The sequence below is a fragment of the Homo sapiens genome, chromosome 16 (assembly GCF_000001405.40).
Source record: "Homo sapiens chromosome 16, GRCh38.p14 Primary Assembly".
Classification (NCBI taxonomy): Eukaryota; Metazoa; Chordata; class Mammalia; order Primates; family Hominidae; genus Homo; species Homo sapiens.
In genome coordinates, this window is record NC_000016.10 from 23,599,006 (window position 1) to 23,620,257 (window position 21,252).

At 44.7% G+C, this 21,252-nt stretch overlaps 1 protein-coding gene across 19 annotated transcripts in view; it reads right to left on the reverse strand.

The window, feature by feature from the left end:
* Positions 4,160-21,252, reverse strand: part of PALB2 (partner and localizer of BRCA2) — a 38,146-nt gene continuing 21,053 nt past the window's right edge. For 11 of the 19 annotated variants that reach the window (NM_001407306.1, NM_001407314.1, NM_001407312.1 and 8 more), the window contains 3 exons: positions 14,999-15,086; positions 8,859-9,007; positions 4,160-4,664 (listed from right to left, as the gene is read on the reverse strand). In NM_001407306.1, the coding sequence (NP_001394235.1) occupies positions 4,454-4,664; positions 8,859-9,007; positions 14,999-15,086 (448 nt within the window). In that variant the 3' untranslated portion in view covers positions 4,160-4,453. The remainder of the gene's footprint in view (positions 4,665-8,858; positions 9,008-14,998; positions 15,087-21,252) is intronic. The other 8 variants (NM_001407313.1, NM_001407302.1, NM_001407301.1 and 5 more) reach the window with 2 other exon arrangements.

The following is a 21,252-nucleotide window of genomic DNA, read 5'->3' on the forward strand; positions in this document are numbered from 1 at the left end:
TCTCTTATTTAAATAATTTGGGAGAGCTACTTTTCCCTTCAGCAAACAAATAAAGACAAAATATCAGCCTACATGGCCTGTAGGGTAAAAGTCCCAATATTAAGATCACATCCTTAGCAGATGAGGAAGAGTTAAAAGACAACACCGGTGCTTTTCAGTAACATTCCCATCAAAGGATGGATAAGCATAAAAGCTGTCAGCTTCCCAGCACAAACTATCCCACCAACCCACCATGATCGCTCCCTCTGCCAGCCCATTTGCACGGTAGTCTCATCCCCTCTTATTCCCAATGGGACCTTATACCACCAGTTAGCTCTTCTTCCCTACATCTCAAAGGTCTCTCTTCTGGCTCTTTCTCCTGAACCCATAAACACATCAAAGTTCCTCTTAGCCTAAAAACAAAGTAAGAGGACCCTCCGCTGACCCTTTATAGATCTCTAATACCATTCCTCCTACCTTTCATAGACAAGCTGTTACATGTGGGGAAAAGCAAGAGAGATCAGATTGTTACTGTGTCTGTGTAGAAAGAAGTAGACATAGGAGACTCCATTTTGTTATGTACTAAGAAAAATTCTTCTGCCTTGAGATTCTGTGACCTTACCCCCAACCCCGTGCTCTCTGAAACATGTGCTGTGTCAACTCAGAGTTGAATGGATTAAGGGCGGTGCAAGATGTGCTTTGTTAAACAGATGCTTGAAGGCAGCATGCTCCTTAAGAGTCATCACTACTCCCTAATCTCAAGTACCCAGGGACACAAAAACTGCGGAAGGCCACAGGGACCTCTGCCTAGGAAAGCCAGGTATTGTCCAAGGTTTCTCCCCATGTGATAGTCTGAAATATGGCCTCGTGGGAAGGGAAAGACCTGACCGTCCCCCAGCCCGACACCCGTAAAGGGTCTGTGCTGAGGAGGATTAGTAAAAGAGGAAGGAATGCCTCTTGCAGTTGAGACAAGAGGAAGGCATCTGTCTCCTGCCTGTCCCTGGGCAATGGAATGTCTCGGTATAAAACCCGATTGTATGCTCCATCTACTGAGATAGGGAAAAACCGCCTTAGGGCTGGAGGTGGGACCTGCGGGCAGCAATACTGCTTTGTAAAGCATTGAGATGTTTATGTGTATGCATATCTAAAAGCACAGCACTTAATCCTTTACATTGTCTATGATGCAAAGACCTTTGTTCACGTGTTTGTCTGCTGACCCTCTCCCCACAATTGTCTTGTGACCCTGACACATCCCCCTCTTCGAGAAACACCCATGAATGATAAATAAATACTAAGGGAACTCAGAGGCTGGCGGGATCCTCCATATGCTGAACGCTGGTTCCCCGGGTCCCCTTATTTCTTTCTCTATACTTTGTCTCTGTGTCTTTTTCTTTCCTAAGTCTCTCATTCCACCTTACGAGAAACACCCACAGGTGTGGAGGGGCAACCCACCCCTACAGTTACACTTTTTCTTTTTGTCATTGTTTGAGACAGAGTCTCGCTCTGTCGCCCAGGCTGGAGTGCAATGGTGCGATCTTGGCTCACTGCAACCTCTGCCTCCTGGGTTCAAGCGATTCTCTGCCTCAACCTCCCGAGTAGCTGAGACTATAGGCGCCTGCCACCACTCCCGGCTAATTTTTGTATTTTTAGTAGAGACTGGGTTTCACCATTTTGGCCAGGCTGTCCTTTCTGCCCAGAATATCCGTTGCTTCTGCTTTGACCTACTTATCCCGCAAGGCTCAGCTAAATTGCCATCTCCCATGAAGTTTTTCTGGGACTCCTGGGTTGTCCAAACTGCTCAGCCTTGAGCTTCCATAATAGCACCTGGAACATATCCCTTAAATTTTTTTTTTTTTAGCTTCCTTTTTTTTTAATTAGAGTCTCGCTCTGTTGCCCAGGCTGGAGTGCAGTGGTGCAATCTCTGCTCACTGCAATGTCTGCCTCCCAGGTTCAAGCGATTCTCCTGCCTCAGTCTCTCGAGTAGCTGGGATTACAGGTGTGTGCTACCACACCCAGCTACTTTTTGTATTTAAGAGACAATGTTTCACCATGTTGGCCAGGCCGGTCTCGAACTCCTAACCTCAAATGATCTGCCCACCTCGGCCTCCAAAGTGCTGGGATTATAGGTGTGTGCCACCGTGCCGGGTCTGAAACATACCCCTTAAATTTAAAGTACAGTCCTGACTGCTTTATGCGACAGTCTCTCCCACTAGACTGTGTACTTCTCAATGGCAGAGGTCTCACAGCAATGATTTACATACCTACTGTGTCAAGCAGATGCTCAGTTTGTGCAACCATTACTGACTAGAATTACTTTGTGCCTTAGTTTTGTTGACTCTTGTTATTATCAAGATAATAATACAGGTTTCTCAAGGTTCATGAGTAAATTAAATCTTTACAAAAAGTTCTCCAGTATCTATGATACACTAGCAAATAATTTGAGGTTAAAAATTGTGGGTATAGAATTTGTAAAAGAGGCTGGGTGTGGAGGCTTACACCTGTAATCTTAGCATTTTGGGAGGGGATGCCACAGTGGGTAGATGGCTTGAGCCCAGGAGTTCGAGACCAGCCTGGGCAACATGGTGAGACTCTGTCTCACAAAAAATTTTTTTTTAATTAGCTGGATATGGTAGCCCATACCTTAGTCCTAGCTACTGGGGAGGCTGAGGTTGGAGGATCGCCTGAGTGTGGGGAAGTTGAGACTGCAGTGAGCTGTGATACCACTGTACTCCAGCCTGTGCAACAGAGTGAGACTGTCTCAAAGAAAATATAATAGACATCCTTTGAAAAAGAAAATTAAAAAAATACCAGAATTTGTAAATGAGCAAAAACTACAGTATGATAAAAATGTATCTTTTTTTGTGTGTGTGATCCACCCACCTCTTATGATCCACCCGCCTCAGCTTCCCAAAGTGCTGGGATTATAGCACTGCACCTGGCCAAAAATGTGTCTTTTTTTTTTTTCTGAGACAGAGTCTTGCTCTGTCCAGGCTGGAACGCAGTGGTGTGATCTCAGCTCACTGCAACCTCCGCCTCCCGGGTTCAAGTGATTCTCCTGCCTCAGCCTCCCGAGTAGCTGGGACTACAGGCGTGTGCCACCATGCGCGGCTAATTTTGTGTATTTTTAGTAGAGATGGGGTTTCACTGTGTTAGCCAGGATGGTCTTGATCTCCTTACCTAGTGATCTGCCCACCTTGGCCTCCCAAAGTGCTGGGATTACAGGCGTGATCCACTGCGCCCGGCCCAAAAATTTGTCTTTAAAAAATATAATCTTCTTTGGCTGGGCACGGTAGCTCATCCCTGTAATCCCAGTACTTTGGGAGGCCGACGTAGGCAGATCACCTAAGGTCAGGAGTTCCAGACTAGCCTGGCCAACACAGTGAAACCCTGTCTCTACAAACAATATAAAAATTAGCCGGGTATAGTAGAGCATGCCTGTAATCCCAGCTACTCAGGAGGCTGAGGCATGAGAATCACTTGAACCTGGGAGGCGGAGGTTGCAGTGAGCCCAGATCACCCCACTGCACTCTAGCCTGGGTGATAGAGGGAGACTCCGTTCTAAAAAAAAAACAAAAAACAAAAAACCAAGAAAAAAAAGAGCGGCAGTGGTTCATGCCTGTAATCCCAGCACTTTGGGAGGTCAAAGCAGGTGGATCACTTGAGGTCAGGAGTTCAAGGCCTGCCTGACCAACATGGTGAGACCCCCATCTCTATTAAAATACAAAAATTAGCCAGGTGTGGTGGTGGGTGCCTGTAATCCCAGCTACTTGAGAGGCTGAAGCAGGGGAATCACTTAACCTGGGAGGCAGAGGTTGCAATGAGCCGAGATCATGCCACTGCACTCCCGCCTGGGTGACCAGTGAGGCTCCATCTCAAAAAAAGGTGACTCTAGTGATAATGCAGCACTGGCATGAAAGATGCATGAGAATGAAAAAGAGTAAGAGTATCCCTAAATTAGGATATTTTAGTAGGTTTCATTTTATTTTAGTATGTATGTAAAAATAAAGTATTACAAATAGCACAAAAAGTATATTGCATATTAGTGTAGTAAGTTAACTGAACTGAAATTTACACTTACTAGGCAAAGACTATTGATTAAATATCCTGGTTGTATAATAATTAGTTCTTGCTTCTGCAAATGATCTTGAAAGAATGGGAAACAATAACATGCCAAGCAGAATGTATAAAAATAAATATTTATTGCCATTTGAAGCTTTATGTACACCTTTAAAAGCACATGTACAAATGTGGGAAATTACAAAAATCAACCTAAAACCCTTTTTCTCAAAGTATACATAAATGTACATCCAAGATCAGTGGTGCTACCATCATTAGAATAAAAAATAAGTCTGTCTGGACATAAACAAGCAATCATTTTAAGTGTCATTCAGATATTCTCCTTTATATTTAAAACTCCAAAAAATACTAAGAGGCCCAATATATCCAGAAAATTGTGTTTTCACTTTACCCTAACTTATGAATAGTGGTATACAAATATATTTCCATCTTTTTGTCCAGCCAGCAAATGAGAGTCTGTACCCGACCATTTCACAAAAGACCAATGTTGGTCAGAGACAGGTGGGAGGAGGGCAGTACACTGACCGAGAAGTAAGTCCCAAATGGCAATTGTTCCAGAAGTCAAGATTGCTGCTGCACAGTGATCTTTCACGTCACCTTCCAGGAACCTGATAGCATACAAAGAAGATATAATTCAGATTACATATCCAAAAAACAATTAAAAAAAAAAAAAAGGTCAAAACCATGTTCCCAAAACCAGCAACAGGAACAAAAATCCCTGTAACTATGAATGCCTACATTTGTAGCCTTAGAGGTCTGTTGGCTATTGTGTTGCAGTTTTGGACAGAATCACATGTCCAGTTCCTGCCAATCTCTCTGATGCATCTTGTAGCAATTGAAGGCTGGCGCACAGTGGCCTTCCTTCCACTCTCCATCACTCTGGCCAAACTCAGTCCCAACTCAGTGTCACTGCTCTTGCCATTCTTTCTCCCTGACAGGCTCTCACCCCAGCTCTTAGCATGGCTGAGTTCTTGTCATCATTCAGGCCTGTTATGTCCATAGAAAGGTCACCCCTAATCCTCTATCTCAGGCAGTGTGCACACACATACGGGATCTGTTCCATCTTTATGACATATATGTTTTTATCTTCATTGCACTTTTCACTATTTGAGATTACCCTGTTTCCATATTCAGTGGGAATTTCCCCCACAAAAGATGCCATCTATGAAGCAGAAACCTACCTGGTTGCCTTTTTCATTTAGACAAGGGCTCTGCAGTCAGCTACCTGGGTTTAAATTCTAACTCTACAAAGTAAGAGCTGTGCAACCCTGGGCAAATTATTTAACTTTATCAGTACAATAGGGATGATTTTAAGAGCACATACTTGACAGGACTGTGGTGAGGTTAAATGAAACAGTTCCTATAAAAGGCTTAGCGCAGTGCCTGGCACACAGGAGGTGCTCAATAAAAATTAGCTATTATTAGCCGGGTGTGGTGGCTCACGCCTGTAATCCCAGCACTTTGGGAGGCCAAGGCGGGTGGATCACCTGAGGTTGGGAGTTTGAGACCAGCCTGGCCAACATGGAGAAACCCGGTCTCTACTAAAAATACAAAATTAGCCAGGCGTGGTGGCACATGCCTGTAATCCCAGCTACTCGGGAGGCTGAAGCACAAGAATTGCTTGAACATGGGAGGTGGAGGTTGCAGTGAGCCAAGATCGTGCCACTGCACTCCAACCTGGGCGATAAAGTGAGACCCTGTCTCCAAAAAAAAAAATTAGCTGTTATTGTGGCCAGGCCTGGTGGCTCACGCCGGTAATCCCAGAACTTTGGGAGGCCAAGGCAGGCAGATCACCTGAGGTAAGGAGTTCACGACTAGCCTGGCCAACATGGTGAAACCCCGTCTCTACTAAAAATACAAAAATTAGCTGGGCATGGTGGCACGTGCCTGTAATCCCAGCTACTAGGGGGGCTGAGGCAAGAGGATCGCTTGAACCTGGGAGGCAGAGGTTGCAGTGAGCTGAGATCATGCCACTGCACTCCAGCCTGGGCAACAGAGAGAAACTCCGTCTCAAAAAAAAAATTAGCTATTATTATTATTCACTGCTGTATCACTGGTGCCTGAGGCATGGCCAGCTCTCCAAAGAGTATTATATGAATGAACTGCATGATACTTTTTATCCCTGGTTCCCACCCAACTTTGCGTACCTAACTCCTAACTTATCTTTGGAAACTCCCTAAGGTTTTCTTTGACAGTCTCTCCCCAACCCTCTACTGCCAATTAAGGTGCCCACCTCTCCACTCTTGTGCTCTCAAACAGTGCAAGCTTCATGTATTGTATTTTGTGCACTGAACAACAGTCACTAGTTTTCCCTTCTAATTTCCATAAAATTAGAAATAAGTGGTTTGTTTGTTTGTTTGTTTTTGAGACAGAGCCTTGCTCTGTCACCCAGGCTGAAGTGCAATGGCGAGATCTCAGCTCACTGCAACCTCTGCCTCCCAGTTTCAAGTGACTCTCCTGTCTCAGCCTCCCCAATAGCTGGGATTACTGGTGCACACCATCGCACCCAGCTCATTTTTGTATTTTTAGTGGAGACAGGGTTTCACCATGTTGGCCAGGCTGGTCGCGAACTCCTGACCTCAAGTGATCTGCCCGCCTCGGCTTCCCAAAGTGCTGGGATTACAGGCATGAGCCACCGCGCCCGGCCAGAAATAGCAGTGTTTTGCTATGGTCTGAATGCTTGTGTCCTCCCAAGATTAATCTGTTGAAACCTAATCACCAATGTGATGGTATTAGGAGGTGGGGCTTTTGAGAAGTGATTGGTGGTTTTGTAAAACAGGCCCCAGAAAGCTGCCTTCTACCATGTGAGGACACATCTATGAGCCAGGAAATGGGCTCTCACCAGACAGTGAATCCGCCAGCACCTTGATCTTGGACTTCCCAGCCAAAAGAATGGTAAGAAATACACTTTGTTGTTTAAAGGCTACCCAGTCTGTGGTATTTTGTTGTAGCAGCCTAATAGAACTAAGATATGCTTCCTACAGGATTGGTACCAAACAGGCTTTCAAGGATTCCTGAACAGATGAGTTTGAAAAGTGACAAAGGAAATGCTTGACCAAGCAGTTATCTTTATCTTTAATCTCTAGGGCCAACGACTATCGTTCTCTCTTCAAATCCAAGGAAGCAAGTTTTATATGAAAGCACATACTGCAGATGATAGTTCTGAGGTTCTTAGGTTCTTAAAAAAAAAAAAAATTAGCCAAGCGTGGTGGCATGTACCTGTAGTCCCAGCTACTTGGGAAGCTGAGATGGGAAGATGGTGTGAACCCGGGAGGCAGAGTTGCAGTGAGCTGAGATCGTGCCACTGCACTCCAGCCTGGGCAACAAAGCAAGACCCTGCAGAAGTGTCACAGCTAGCTAAGTGCATAGGGATAGAGAATGTCTTTTAGAACATGCACTTATCAAATAAACTTTGCATAAGGTCCAAAAAAACATGTATTGTAACTGTGTGCATTATCCTTGTGAGTTATTAAAGTCAGACCTTGTTTTCTTGATTCACTTCAGCCCAGGCTGCAGTGCAGTGGTACAATCTCGGCTCACTGCAACCTCTCCCTCCCGGGTTCAAGCGATTATCCTGCCTCAGCCTCCTGAGTAGCTGGGATTACAGGCACGCACTACCATGCCCAGCTAATTTTTGTATGTTAGTAGAGACGGGGTTTCACCGTGTTGGTCAGGCTGGTCTCGAACTCCTGACCTCATGATCCGCCTGCCTCGGCCTCCCAAAGTGCTGGGATTACAGGCGTGAGCCACTGCACCCTGCTTTTTTTTTTTTTTTTTTGAGACGGAGTCTCGCTCTGTCTCCCAGGCTAGAGTGCAGTGGCACGATCTCGGCTCACTGCAACCTCTGCCTCCCAGGTTCAAGTGACCCCAGCCTCCCGAGTAGCTGGGATTATAGGTGCCTGCCACCGTGCCCAGCTAATTTTTGTATTTTTAGTAGAGATGGGGTTTCACCATCTTGGCCAGGCTGGTGAACTCCTGACCTCATGATGCACCTGCCTCAGCCTCCCAATTGCTGGGATTATAGGCGTGAGCCACTGCCTGGCCAGATAAATACTTATCTATAGATAAATATAAACTGCCTGCATGATAGAGGCTCAGTCAAACTCAGTCAGATTTCAAAGTAAAGATGTCTTCCTAAAGTACCTTAAATTTTCCTTAATTTAGGTTTAGGGAAAGAACACAAATTATGTTTTTTAAATACAGAACGTTCATTACTCTTTATGTGAATTTTTTTTTTTTTTTTTTTGAGACAGGGTCTTGCTCTGTTGCCAGGCTTGAGTGAAGTGGTATGATTTCAGCTCACTGCAGCCTCCACCTCCCAGGTTCAAGCCATCCTCCCACCTCAGCCTCCCGAGTAGCTGGAAGTACAGATGCATGCCAGCATGTTTGGCTAATATATATATATATTTTTTTTGGTAGAGACTGGGTCTTGCTCTGTTGTCCAAGTTGGTCTCAAACTCCTGGGCTCAAGCTCTCCTCCCACCTTGACCTCCCAAAGTGCTGGGATTACAGGCATGATCCACCATGTGCTGCCAAAATATTTACCTTAGGGGAAAAAACAGGGCTTGAATAAACACTATTAAAAACCTATATAACCCCATACTAGTAGAGATCAGGATGCAGGGAATCTGGGGTTTGACTCAAGTCCACTAATCTTCATCCTACTTCTGAATATTCCTATCATGATATATAGTATTTCATGTTTTCCATTCTTCTAAGTGACACAAAAATATCTAGTTTTTGTGTTTGCACAGTGCCTTTCAGAATGTCCCACCCATAGAGTAGCAGTTATGCACACTTGCCTGCCAGCCTGCCCTGGAGGAAGACAGTACAGCATCACACCCACGCTGAGAGTCGTCTTAGGGTTAATCACAATGAGCTGAAACACAGGGCTTCGCAACGACTCACTCTCTTTGGCACAGGGATGACTCAGGACAATAAAGAGAAGCCCCTAATTTCGGAGAAAAATAAATATCCCAAATAGACTGTCAAGAGTATGTCAGGAAAAATAAAGATCTGGCAGAGACAAAAACCAAACAATTAAAGCAATGACCGATAGGCTCTGAAGTATCCAGGATTTAACCACTGGCTTGATTTTTTTCCCTGCCGTCTAGGAACTGTTGAGATTATTACTGGACTGGACTTCTGGCTTCTTGTTCTTCTTCTTTTTTTTTTTAGAGACAAGGCCTTCCTGTGTTACCCAGGCTGTTGTTGAACACCTGGCCTCAAGGGATCCTCCCACCTCAGCCTCCCAAAGTGTTGGGATTACAGACGTCAGCCACCGCGCTCAGCCAACTTCTAGCTTTAGCTTCTCCTGCTTCCGGTTCCCAGTGTTTGTTTTAGCCAGTCTTGCCAGGCATGAATCTGATTCATCCATTTCCTTCCCCTTAGATAGTACTACATTTCATGCCATTCATTTGGGGAAATATTGGCAAAGAGAGAATGAGGACACACATGTGCAGGGAGTGCTCAAATTAGAAATATTCATTTGTAAATTGGTTTTTGAACATTCAGAACATGTTTTCCCATAAAAACAATCTTGTACATGGTGGCTGGTTTCTCAGACCAGCCCACAATAGCCTATTTAAAACCCTGACCCTACTACTCTCTATGAATAAGGGTGACCAAAAAAAGATACCATCACCTATGGCTGTTTCTGTGAGAAAATGTGTTAAAGTTCTCTCCTGGCTTTAAAATTACAGGCTCTAATAATAATATTACTGTATGTGTGTATATATATACACACACACACACACACACACATATATACAGATTTTTTTTTTTTGAGACGGAGTTTCGCTCGTTGCCCAGGCTGGAGTGCAATGGTGCGATCTCAGCTCACTGCAACCTCCGCCTCCCAGGTTCAAGTGATTCTCCTGCCTCAGCCTCCCAAGTAGCTGGGATTACAGGTATGCGCCACCATGCCTGGCTAATTTTTGTATTTTTAGTAGAGACAGGGTTTCACCACGTTGACCAGGATGGTCTCGATCTCCTGACCTTGTGATCCACCCACCTCAGCCTCCCAAAGGGCCGGGATTATAGGCGTGAGCCACGGCGTCAGGTCAAATGATTGAATTTATTAATGAAAATAAAATATTTTTATATTTAGAAAACAACTGAGGTAACTCAGGAGGCCGAGGCAGTAGGATAGCTTGAGACAAGCCTGGGAAACACAGCTGAAGACCTCATCATCTAAAAAAATTAAATTAAAATTTAGCTGGGTGCTGTGGCTCATGCCATGTAATCCCATCAACTTGGCAGGCTGAGTGGGGAGGATCGCTTGAGCCCAAGAACTCAAGGCTATAGTGAGCTATGATGGTGCCACTGATCTACAGCCTGAATGAGAGAGTGAGACCCTATCTCTAAAAGGGAAAAAAACTGAGGATTTAAAAATGTTAAATGCTATACAGTTAAGAAGAGGCTGACAAACTATGGCCCACCAGGTAAATCTAACCCAACACAATTTTTTTTTTTGAGACAGAGTCTTGCACTGTCGCCCAGGCTGGCGTGCAGTGGTGCGATGTCTGCTCACTGCAAGCTCTGCCTCCTGGGTTCACGCCATTCTCCTGCCTCAGCCTCCCGAGTAGCTGGAACTACAGGCGCCCGCCACCACGCCCGGCTAATTTTTTGTACTTTTAGTAGAGCGGGGTTTCACTGTGTTAGCCAGGATGGTCTCGATCTCCTGACCTCATGATCCGCCCGCCTTAGCCTCCCAAAGTGCTGGGATTACAGGCGTGAGCCACCGCGCCTGGCCACCCAACACTTTTTTTGGGGGGATAGGGTCTCACTGTCACCTAGGCTGGAGTGCAGTGGCATAATCAGCTCACTGCAGCCTTGAATTCCTGGCCTCAAGCAATCCTCCCTCCTTGGCCTCCCAAAGCACTGGAATTACAGCTGTGAGCCACCATGCCTGGCCCCAGTGCTTATTTTTCCATGGCTAATAAACTAAGAATGTTTTTCAGATTTTGAAATGGCTGAAAAACATCAGAAAAATAACATTTTGTGACATGCCAAAATTAACATATGAAGTTCAAGTTTCAGTCTCCATAAAGTTTTATTAGAACACAGCTACATCTATCCATTTGCATACAGTCTATGGCTGATTTGGGGCCACAATGGCAGAGTTGAGTATGTAAAACAGAGATTGTAAGGCCAGCACAGCTGAAAGTATTTGCCGTCTGGTCATATATGGAAAAAGTTTATCAATCCCTGCACTAAACAGTTAAATAAATAATACAATGTTATTTCTTTTTTTTTTTTTTTTTTGAGACAGAGACTTGCTTTTTCGCCAGGCTGGAGTGCAGTGGCAGGATGTCGTCTCACTGCAACCTCTGCCTCCTGGATTCAAGCAATTCTCCTTCCTCAGCCTCCCAACTAACTGGGACTACAGGTGCGCACCACCATGCCCAGCTAATTTTTGTATTTTTAGGAGAGACGGAGTTTCACCATGTTGGCCAGGATGGTCTCAATCTCCTGACCTCGTGATCTGCCCGCCTCGGCCTCACAAAGTGCTGGGATTACAGGTGTGAGCCACCACGCCTGGCATTAAATATTATTTCTGAAGATTGGCTTTATGGGGGACTTTTACTTACTATCTTACACATGTCTGTGTGAAATGTTTTAATATCAAGTGGGTATTGATGTTGTAATATAAAAGGTATAACATTATTTAAATGCTTAATAAGTAAATTCTAGGCCAGGCATGGTGGCTTACGCCTGTAATCCCAGCATTTTGGGAGCGTGAGGCGGGTGGATCACAAAGTCAGGAGCTCAAGACCAGCCTGGCCAACTTGGTGAAACCCCGTCTCTACTAAAGATACAAAAAAATTAGCCAGGCATGGCGGCAGGCACACCTGTAATCCCAGCTACTTGGGAGGCTGAGGCACAGAATTGCTTGAACCTGGCAGGCGGAGGTTGCAGTGAGCCGACATCACACCACTGTACTCCAGCCTGGGTGACAGAGCAAGAATCTTGTCTCAAAAAAAAAGTAAATTCTAGAGATGAATTCAACTGTCAGTCTATCTATCTATCTATCTATCTATCTATCTATCTATCTATCTATCAATCTATCTATTCGTTGTTGTTGTTGTTCTTTTGTTTTGAGACAGAGTCTTCCTCTGTCGCCCAGGCTAGAGTGCAATGGCACGATCTTGGCTCACTGCAACCTCCACCTCCAGGTTGAAGTGATTCTCCTGCCTCGGCCTCCTGAGTAGCTGGGATTATAAGCACCTGCCACCATGCCCAGCTAATTTTTGTATTTTTTAGTAGAGACAGGGTTTCATCATGTTGGTCAGGCTGGGTCTTGAACTCCTGACCTCAGGTGATCCACCTGCCTCAGCCTCCCAAAGTGCTGGGATTACAGGCGTGAGCCACCATGCCCAGCCTAGTTATTATTATTATTATTATTTTTTTTTGAGATGGAGTTTTGCTCTTGTCACTCAGGCTGGAGTGCAGTGGCACACTCTCGGCTCACTACAACCTCTGCCCCCTGGGTTCAAGCAATTCTCCTGCCTTAGCTTCCCTAGTAGTTGGGACTACAGGCGCACACACCACACCCATGTAAATTTTGTATTTTTAGTAGAGACAGGGTTTCACCATGTTGGCCAGGCTGGTCTTGAATTCCCGACCTCAGGTGATCCACCCGCCTTGGCCTCTCAAAGTGTTGAGATTACAGGCGTGAGCCACTGCACCTGGACTATTAGTTATTTTTGGGACAGGGTCTCACTCTATCGCCCAGGCTGGAGTACAGTGGTGCCATCATGGCTCACTGCAGCCTGGAACACCTGGGCTCCAGTGATCCTCTCACTGGAGAAGCTGGTATTACAGGCATGTGCCACTACACCTGGCCACAACTGTCTTATTTAAAGGAGGACAAAGGTTAGGCTCAAGATTATGTGTTGGATTATATAACATCACACAACTTTTAAATTCAATTCCACAGATCCTACTAGGCTAGGGAAAGATGCGGTCTTTGTGTTCAGAGCCTCTGGATGCTGATCCTCTCACTGTAATCACCAGGCAAGTCAGTCTCTACACAAATGCTGAGCCTGCTGCCATTGTCTCTGCTCATGGCTTCAACAGTGAATACTCAAGTAGTTATTCATTACTCCTAGACAACTACTTTCCCACTGTAACTAGATTGTGAGTCAAGGCTTTTTATTTATTTATTTATTTATTTTGAGACAGAGTCTTGCTCTGTCACCCAGGGTGCAGTGGCACGATCTCGGCTCACTGCAACCTCCACCTCCTGGGTTCAAGCAATTCTTCCTGCCTCAGCCTCCTGAGTAGCTGGGATTACAGGTGCCTGACATGACATCTGGCTAATTTTTGTAGTTTTAGTAGAGACGGGGTTTTACCATGTTGGCCAGGCTGGTCTCGAACTACTGACCTCACATGATACACCCACATCGGCCTCCCAAAGTGCTGGGATTATAGGTGTGAGCCACCATGCCAGGCCAAGACTTTTTTTTTTTTTTTTTTTTTGAGACAGGTTCCCACTCTGTTGCCCAGGCTGGAGTACAGCAGTGTGATCATGGCTTACCACAGCCTCGACCTCCTGGGCTCCAGGGATCCCCTGAACTCAGCCTCCTGAGTAGCTGGGACTACAGCTGCATGCCACCATGCCTGGCTAATTTTTGTCTTTTTTTATAGTGATGGGGTTTTGCCACATTGCCCAAGGTAAAACTTTTTTTTTTTCTTTTTGTTTTTTGAGACGGAGTCTCGCTCTGTCGCCCAGGCTGGAGTGCAATCGTGCAATCTCGGCTCACTGCAACCTCCGCCTCCTGGGTTCAAGCAATTCTCTTTCCTCAGTCTCCCAAGTAGCTGGGATTACAGGCATGCGCCACCACGCCCACCTAATTTTTGTATTTTTAGTAGAGGTGGGCTTTCACCATATTGGTCAGGCTGGTCTCAAACTCCTTACCTCAGGTGTTCCACCCACTTTGGCCTCCCAAAGCGTTTTTTTTTTTTTATTAATACAAAATATTTTATATATTTATGGGGTACATGTATTTGTTATGTGCACAAAGTATATAATGATCAAGGCGGGGTATTTGGGGTACCCATCACCTCGAGAATCTATCATTTCTATGTATTGGGAACATTTCAAGTCCTTTCTTCTAGCTACTTTGAAATATATAGCACATTGTTGCTAACTACAGTCATTCTACTCTGCTACTGAATATTGGAGCTTATTTCTAACTGTATGTTTGTACCCACTAGCCAAGACTATTAGTGCAAGAGCTGAGTAACTGTATTTATTTCTGTGTGAGAAGACTGAAGCCTAAGAGTAAAGCATGTTAGCTGGGCACTGTGGCTCACATCTGTAATACCAGCACTTTGGGAGGCTGAGGCGGGTGGATCACCTGAGGTCAGGAGTTCGAGACAAGCCTGGCCAACATGGCAAAACCCCATCTCTACTAAAAATACAAAAATTAGCCGGGTGTGGTGGCGGGCACCTGTAATCCCAGCTACTTGGAAGACTGAGGCAGGACAATTAATTGAACCTAGAAGGCAGAGGTTGCAGTGAGCTGAGATCGCGCCATTGCACTCCAGCCTGGGCAACAAGAGCAAAACTCCATCCCAAAAAAAAAAAAAAGTATTTCTGGGATTATTGGATCATTTAATCATCCTTCCTAAGGCTACTTAAACATGGCAATGTGGCTGGGAGTCAAGTCTGATAACAGGCATAATAGTTCTCAGTTCAAATCCACAGCTAGAAATAAATATTTGCCCTCAGGTCCTACAGCCAGAAAATTTACCAAGCAATCACTGTACCAACACTTATTTTCATCCTAAATTTCAAGAAAGGACAAACATTGCTATCCAATTTTGAAAAAAGATGCCACGGGGAAGGTTTGTTCATTACTGCTTATGACTTACTGCTCTCACTTAATGAGACCAACAGTAACACACAAAGTGGTCCCAGCCAGTCATTACTTACCATTTCAGAATAGGCTTTGTGACAGACTGAAGCTTGGTAAGAATCATCAATGTGCATCTTTTTCAGGAGTTGACCAGTTTTTAAATTCCTTAGATAACAAAAATAAATAAGCTGATCACATTCTTCCAACAAACCAGTTTTCAGAAAATATTTTCTTATTCATCATAGCATGTCTTAGGAGGTGACCAGGGAAAAAACTAAGAGCTCCTTAGTTTTCTTTAGTCATAGATTTAGGTAAAAGTAGAACTGTGGGTTAATTTTGCCAATAGTTTCATTTGATAGTTCAGCCTTAGATTAAATCTACAATGCCCCTAGGGATAAATCTCTCCAAATTCCATGAGGAAGGTTCCATCATCTCATTCAACCTGGTATTGAAATCAGGCACATGGTATAGCAGTATCATGATTTTGTGACACTTCTTGTTATGTCTAAATTTTCCATGGAAGACAACGGCCAGGAAACCAAATTTTGTAGGGCAAGAGACTACACCTAAAAGAGAGTTACAATTATATCTCTATTACATGTATTTATACTACAACTAGACCAAAATAATGGATAGAAGGAAGGATTGAAGTGGGGTAGGAAGAGAGGGGTGAATATAAAGAAGAAAAAAGATAAAGTTTGTTGGAATCACTTCCCAGCTTTTTTTTTTTTTTTTTTTTTTTGAGACGGAGTCTCGCTCTGTGGCCCAGGCTGGAGTGCAGTGGCGGGATCTCGGCTCACTGCAAGCTCCGCCTCCCGGGTTCACGCCATTCTCCTGCCTCAGCCTCCCGAGTAGCTGGGACTACAGGCGCCCGCCACTACGCCCGGCTAATTTTTTGTATTTTTAGTAGAGACGGGGTTTCACCGTTTTAGCCGGGATGGTCTTGATCTCCTGACCTCGTGATCCGCCCGCCTCGGCCTCCCAAAGTGCTGGGATTACAGGCGTGAGCCACCGCGCCTGGCCTTTTTTTTTTTTTTTTTTGAGATGGAGTCTCGCTCTGTCACCCAGGCTGAGTGCAGTGGTGCCATCTTGGCTCACTGCAATCTGCACCTCCCAGGTTCCAGCAATTCTTCCACCTCAGCCTTCCAAGTAGCTGGGATTACAGGCACCCACCACCATGCCTGGCTAATTTCTGTATTTTTAGTAGAGGCAGGGTTTCACCAGGTTGGCCAGGCTGGTCTTGAACTCCTGACCGTAGGTGATCCACCTGCCTCGGCCTCCCAAAGTGCTGGGATTACAGGCACGAGCCACTGCACCTGACCTGCTCCCCAGCTTTATTGAGGATTTGTGACATTGATAACTGCTTTGTCATGATACTCTATTTTTTTGTTTTTGGAGCTTAGGGTCTCGCTCCATTGCCCAAGCTGGAGTGTGGTGGCGTGATCATGACTCACCGTAGCCTTGACCTCTGAGGCTCAAGCGATCCTCCCACCTCACTGCCCCAAGTAGTTGGGACTACAGCTGCATGCCACCATGCCTGAATAATTTTTTAATTTTTTGTAGAGACAGGGTTTCACTATATTGCCCAGGCTGGTCTTGAACTCCTGGGCTCAAGCAATCCTCCCACCTCAGCCTCCCAAAGTGCTGGGATTACAGGTGTGAGAGACTGCACCTGGTTCATGTTACTCTGTTGATGAAAAACTTTCAGTTGGCTCCCATTAGCCACAACATAAAGTCCAAGTTCTTTTTTTTTTTGAGATGGAGTTTTGTTCTTGTTGCCTAGGCTGGAGTGCAATGGCACAGCCTCGGCTCACTGCAACCTCTGCCTCCCAGGTTCAAGCAATTCTCCTGCCTCAGCCTCCTGAGTAGCAGGGATTACAGGCAGGCGCCACCACACCCAGCTAATTTTTGTATTTTTAGTAGACACGGGGTACACCATGTCGGCCAGGCTGGTCTCAAACTCCTGACCTCAGGTGATCTACCCGCCTTGGCCTCCCAAAGTGCTGGAATTACAGGCGTGAGCCACCGCGCCCGGTGGTATTTATAACTCTCATGAATCCAGCAGTGCAATATTTACATTATCACTCATTGCTCCATTTCCTGAAATCTTTCTGCCTGAAGAACATATGCATTTCCTTGACTCTAGACTTTGCTCAAGCTATGCTTTCCAATGACCCCTGCTCCCCCAACTCCCTGCCACCCATTACAGAAGAGTTCCCATCCCTGTTACTGACGAATTCCCATCCATTTCTTAGGGCCTAGTTATATCCCACCCCCTCCAAGCTGCATGAACTCACTTGAGACTACAGCAGTCCACAGTCATCTCCTCTCCTTTAATTTTGTCCATATACCTCATTTGGTATGCAATATACTACTGGCAATACTGTATCATGTATTCACTCAACAAATACAGAATTCTATGGGCCAGATACTGTGTATAAAAAACTGAAGAAGGAAAATTAAATTTTTATGTGCATATGCAAAGTTTTCCTCCTATCAGGGACACCAGATGGGTGTCCTACAGAGTTTCATACATGGTCTGTATTTAGTAATTGTTCTTTCCTCAAATCCCAAATCACTTTGACCTTATGTGAATTGTAAAAAGGATTGTACTGAAATTGTAGGCTTTGATGGTAAAGGCATCTTATTTACCTACTAGATTATAGGGGCCCTGGGACCAGGATTCATATCTGATTCATCTCTGCATCTCTCACAGAGAATGGGACATAAGTAGAGACCCAGATACCTACTGAATGTTTGGAAGATATTAAATGAAATGTCTCAGTGAATATGGACAGCAAGACTTCCTTACACACTGGCCCCTCAGTGTTTAAGAATGTTTTAACGTGTTTCTTTGATATGACTTCATTGTAAACATTAAGCTTAAGAAATTTTTTTTTTTTTTTGAGACGGAGTCTCATTGTCGCCCAGGCTGGAGTGCAGTGGCGTGATCTCCGCTCACTGCAAGCTCCACCTCCCGGGTTCATGCCATTCTCCTGCCTCAGCCTCCCGAGTAGCTGGGACTACAGGCACCCACCACCACGCCTGGCGAATTTTTTGTATTTTTAGTAGAGACGGGGTTTTACCGTGTTAGCCAGGATGGACTCCATCTCCTGACCTCATCGTGATCTGCCCACCTCGGCCTCCCAAAGTGCTGGGATTACAGGCGTGAGCCACCGTGCCCGGCCAAGCTTAAGAAATATTTAGACCTTCAGCATAGTTTCCAAAAAAAGCCACTTGACACTTGAGTATAACATGAATCACTTGAGACATCTAACAAATCAGGAGTTAAATAAGAACAAATACTACATGTAAGTATAAAATTATACAGAGCCCAAAAGATAAGTAACAGCTTTTGACAGACAATATGATTAATACACCTTTGAGTAACTACCCTAAACATGGAGCTAAGGCAGGCACCAAGAATAGATATGAGACATGGTACCTGTCTTCAAAAACGAGAGAGGATAAATAACACAAAGCAGCAAATACTAAATTAAAAATCAAGGCAGGCCAGGTGCGGCAGCTTATGTCTACAATCCCAGCACTTTGGGAGGCTGAGGCGGGAGGATCACTTGCATTGAGGAGTTCACGACCAGTCTAGGCAACATGGGAAGACCCTGTCTCTACAAAAAAAAATTAAAAAAAAAAAAATTTTTTTTTTTTTAATTAGTCAAGGCTGGTGGCATGCATCTGTAGTCCTGCTACTCAGGAGGCTGAGGTGGGAGGACTGCTTGAGCCTGAGAGGTTGAGACTTCAGTGAGCCATAGTCATGCCACTGTACTCCAGCATGGGCAACAGACTGAGACCCTCTCTCAAAAAAGCAAAAACAAAAAAACAACCAAGGCAGTATGAATTCGGAGAAGGAAACATCAATGAAGGCTGGAATAGTACAACAGAACTCAAGGTAACTGTGGGGGTGAAAATATCCCCTAAGGGGAACTTAGAAGCCAAGTATAGAAATCCCTCCCCAACTTCCCAGCACTCTAGAAGGCCGAGGTGGGAGGGTTGCTTAAGTCCAAAAGTTCAAGACCAGCCTGGAAAAAATAGCAAGACCCTGCCTCTACAAAGAAAAAGAAAAAGAAAAATTAGCCAGGCATGGTGGTGTACATCTGTGGTCTCGGCACTTTGGGAGGCTGAAGTGGGAGGATTGCTTGTGCCAAGGAGTTCAAGACCAGCCTGAGTAACATACCAAGTTCTCATCTCTACAAAAAATTTAAAAATTAGCAGGGCATGATGCTGTGTGCCTGCAGTCCCAGCTACTCAGGAGGCTGAGGTGGGAGGATTCCTTGAGCCCAGAAGTTTGAGGTTGCAGTGAGCTACCTCAAAATGCAGTGAGTCATGCCCATGCACTCCAGCCTGGGTACTGAGTGAGACTCTGTTTCAGAAAGAAATCCCTTCCCAATCTCAAATTCCTTTGTGACCTCTTATATACGAAATGCCAAAGGACTACTTATAGAAAAAGGGTACAACTGAGAGATGGGAAGGAAAAAGGGAGGAAAGGAGGACGGCAGAGCTGGAGAGGACATTTTTGTACTAGAGCACCGGGGAAATAAAAGCTGAAGGAAAGCAAACATGGGCCCCTGTAAAGGTTTTCTTTTGAGGGATGAGGGTAGAGTTGAAGAAAGAGTATTTACAATGTAGTCGAATAAAAAATGACCTGCGTTTGAGCCCAGGCATTCGAGGTTGCAGTGAGCTATGGTCATGCCAGTGCACTCTAGTTTGGGTGACAGAGTAAGACATAGTCTAAAAAAATTTAAAAAAAAAATATCAAGTTTGAATATTGATTAATGGCAAGGAGATGAACTACTAGATTATTTTAACAGTTCAGGAGACAGATAATGAAGGTGTGGACTATGGAAATAGCACAAAGAATAGAAAAGACAACTTCTGGAAGAGCACCATCCTCAAATAACACCCCTCGGCAGAAACCCTGGTGAAAGTGCTCCAAGTGGCCAAGCGCTACCCTAGACAACAGGACATCTGAAAGCAGGGTCTTCTGGCAGATCAGAACATAGTCAAATTTCAGAGGCTTTCTGGTGGGAAGGGCACAACGTTTCTCTCAAGGGCCATACTTTTCTAGTTTATTCCTAGAAGGTTAGGGTTGTAAGTCACCATAGTGTTTAAAAAAAAGAAAACAAAAAAAGGTTAGGGTTGGATGGTACATAAGAGCTAGGGTAGTGGTCACACTAATATAACTTCCTCTTACCAAGACCCACTCTGGCCCTAAGGAAACAGTTAATAGACAAGGCTTCTGAGAAAAGAAAAAACATCAATCTATTTTCCTAATACAAATTAAACTTGCAAGTAAGTGCCTGTGGCTGGGTATGGTTCTCCCTATAGTCAGAAAAGAGATGGCTGGGGACTCCTGTGATGGTTTCCCTATCACAAATCTGTTAATTTGGTTCCTGTGATCACACTTTTTTCTTTTCTTTTTTTGAGACAGAGTCTCACTCTGTCACTCAGGCTAGAGTGCAGTGGCGCGATCTCGGCTCACTGCAACCTCTGCCTCCTAGGTTCCAGCGATTCTCCTGCCTTAGCCTCGCACCACCAGGCCTGGCTAATTTTTGTGTCTTTAGTAGAGACGAGGTATCTTTAGTAGAGATGGGGTATCTTTAGTAGAGACGCCACACTTATTTTTTGTATACTGAGTAACTTTGGACTGTATCCTAGTTACAGTGATATTAATATGTTGCAAAAACTTTGTATTCTGTTAGGTTCCTCTGACAAACACTGATGTTTTTTCTTTTTAAAAATATTTTTTAAAAAGGAATTTTAACATTTACTGAATACCTCCTATGTGCCAGACAATATGGTAAGTACTTTTAAAATACAATTCTATTGACTTTTAAAAAATTATTATTTTTTTTTGAGACAGAATCTTGCTCTGTCGCCCAGGCTGGAGTGCAGTGGCGCAATCTTGACTCACTGCAACCTCCGCCTCCTGGGTTCAAGCGATTCTCCTACCTCAGCCTCCTGAGTAGCTGGAATTACAGGTGTGCACCACCACGCCTGGCTAATTTTTGTATTTTTAGTAGAGCTGGGGTTTTGCCTTGTTGGCCAGGCTGGTCTCGAACACTTGGCCTCAAGTGATCTGCCTGCCTTGGCCTCCCAAAGTGCTGGGATTATAGGCATGAGCCACCCGTGCCCGGCCCTGATTTTTTTGGTTGTAAGTTTGTCTGTCCTAGTAAACAGTTAACTTGGCTGAACTTGAACTCCAAATGCCGAAACTGAAATTCGTTCTTTCAGTCTTACCTGAGCTGCTTTCAGTCTTACCAGACTCCAAGCAGTCTGACCTATGAATATGCAGTTTAAAGGGTCAATCAAATAT